Below are 1,629 nucleotides of genomic sequence, written 5' to 3'. Positions count from 1 at the left end.
CTAACTACTCAGCTGTCATAACTGGACTCCTTCCTTCCTTAATTCCCGTGGAAGTGTATTAACTTCCTCCAAAACACAAGATTAACAATATCACTTCTTTGTTCAAAATATGGGGTGGCTATTCCTCATCCACGTAATTGAATGTAACTCCTCACTCTGGCCTTCAAGGCTTTTGGGCCTTTGGTGATACTTTCAGCCTTCCTTTCACTCATATCATCACAATTCACTCTTGCAAACTATTTTCTTTTGTCAAAGTGAACCACTTGTAACCAAGTGACCAGCTCAAACCAATTAACGTTGCTTAAGCTGTTACAGATGGCACAGAGCCAAAACTGAAAGTCATGTCACTCAGGCACATGCAATGAAAACTAATTGTTAACACCACCAGCCTGGCAGATCAGCTGCATTGGCATCACCTGGGACTACTTAGAAATGCTTTAAAAGCTTGGCCCCCCCCCGCCCCCCACCCCATACAGAGAAGACACATTTGAGCATTGCCTTCTGTCTCCTTGCTCGTCAATTCTCAATAAAGCTTTTACTTATCTCAAAAGTCAGTGCCATAAGTCTTGGCTTCTGTGTGCATCACCCAGCGAGCCCAGTGCTCAGTAACACTCCAAATGCATCAGACACTTTCTCACTTCTGTATTTTTGTCAACATTATTTTCTTTGCCTGGAGCATCCTTATCCTTTCCTGTCTGCATTTCCAAATCCTAAAGTTTTCCACGCTCAACTCAAATGTCACCACTGCTTTGAAACTTTCCCTGTTTTCTCCCACCACCTTAAAGGCTAGAAATACATTTTTCTTCTAATTTCTCAGGGCCCTCATCTGTCCATTTTTGTTGACACTAAGCACATTTGGTTATCTGTTAGAACAAATTACACCAACACGTAGTAGCCTAAAACTATAACTAATCATTTTTATATTTCATAATTCTGAGTCAAAACTTAGGTCAGGACAAAACAGGGCTGGTTTATCGTTGCTCCATGATTTCTGGAGCCTCAGCTGAGTGGACCTGGGCATCCCTCTTGCCCATTCTCTTTCCAGAGCTTCTCCACATGCCTAGCATGTACTTCCACATAGCATGGTATCCTCAGGGTAGTGGGCATTTGTACATGGTAGCTCCAGGCTCCAATAGACCAAAATGGAAGCTGCTAATCCTTTTAAAGGCAGCCTGGAGCTGACATAGCATCATTTCTGCCTTACTTTACTTCCCAAAGCTGTCACATGCCAGCTTTCAAGGGAAGGAGAAGTGGACCCTCACCGTTCTACAGGAAGGGTATCAAATAATTTGAGGACATCTCATAAAGAACAGAAATCATTGCCTAGGTACTTAGATGTATACCTGATCTTTTCTCCAAGGCTGTGAGTTCTGGTGTATGATTTATTTTGTAGCTCCCATGTTGCCTAATGCAGTGCTTTGCCTGTAACAGGTGTGCAGTAATTTTTGTTGTAATAATGGACAAATGTGTTTAATAGATTCTTCTAGCCAAAGGCAATCACACGTAATTTTAAATTCTGCAGAGTAAAAAAAAAAATTGGGGGGCTAGAGGTCACTGGAGAGATTTTGAAAATAGATGACTATGTTCTTTGGAGGGCAGACTATAGGCATGATTCTATAGTCTTTATAA

This window comes from Homo sapiens, chromosome 3 (assembly GCF_000001405.40).
Source record: "Homo sapiens chromosome 3, GRCh38.p14 Primary Assembly".
Classification (NCBI taxonomy): Eukaryota; Metazoa; Chordata; class Mammalia; order Primates; family Hominidae; genus Homo; species Homo sapiens.
This window is presented reverse-complemented; position numbering follows the sequence as displayed.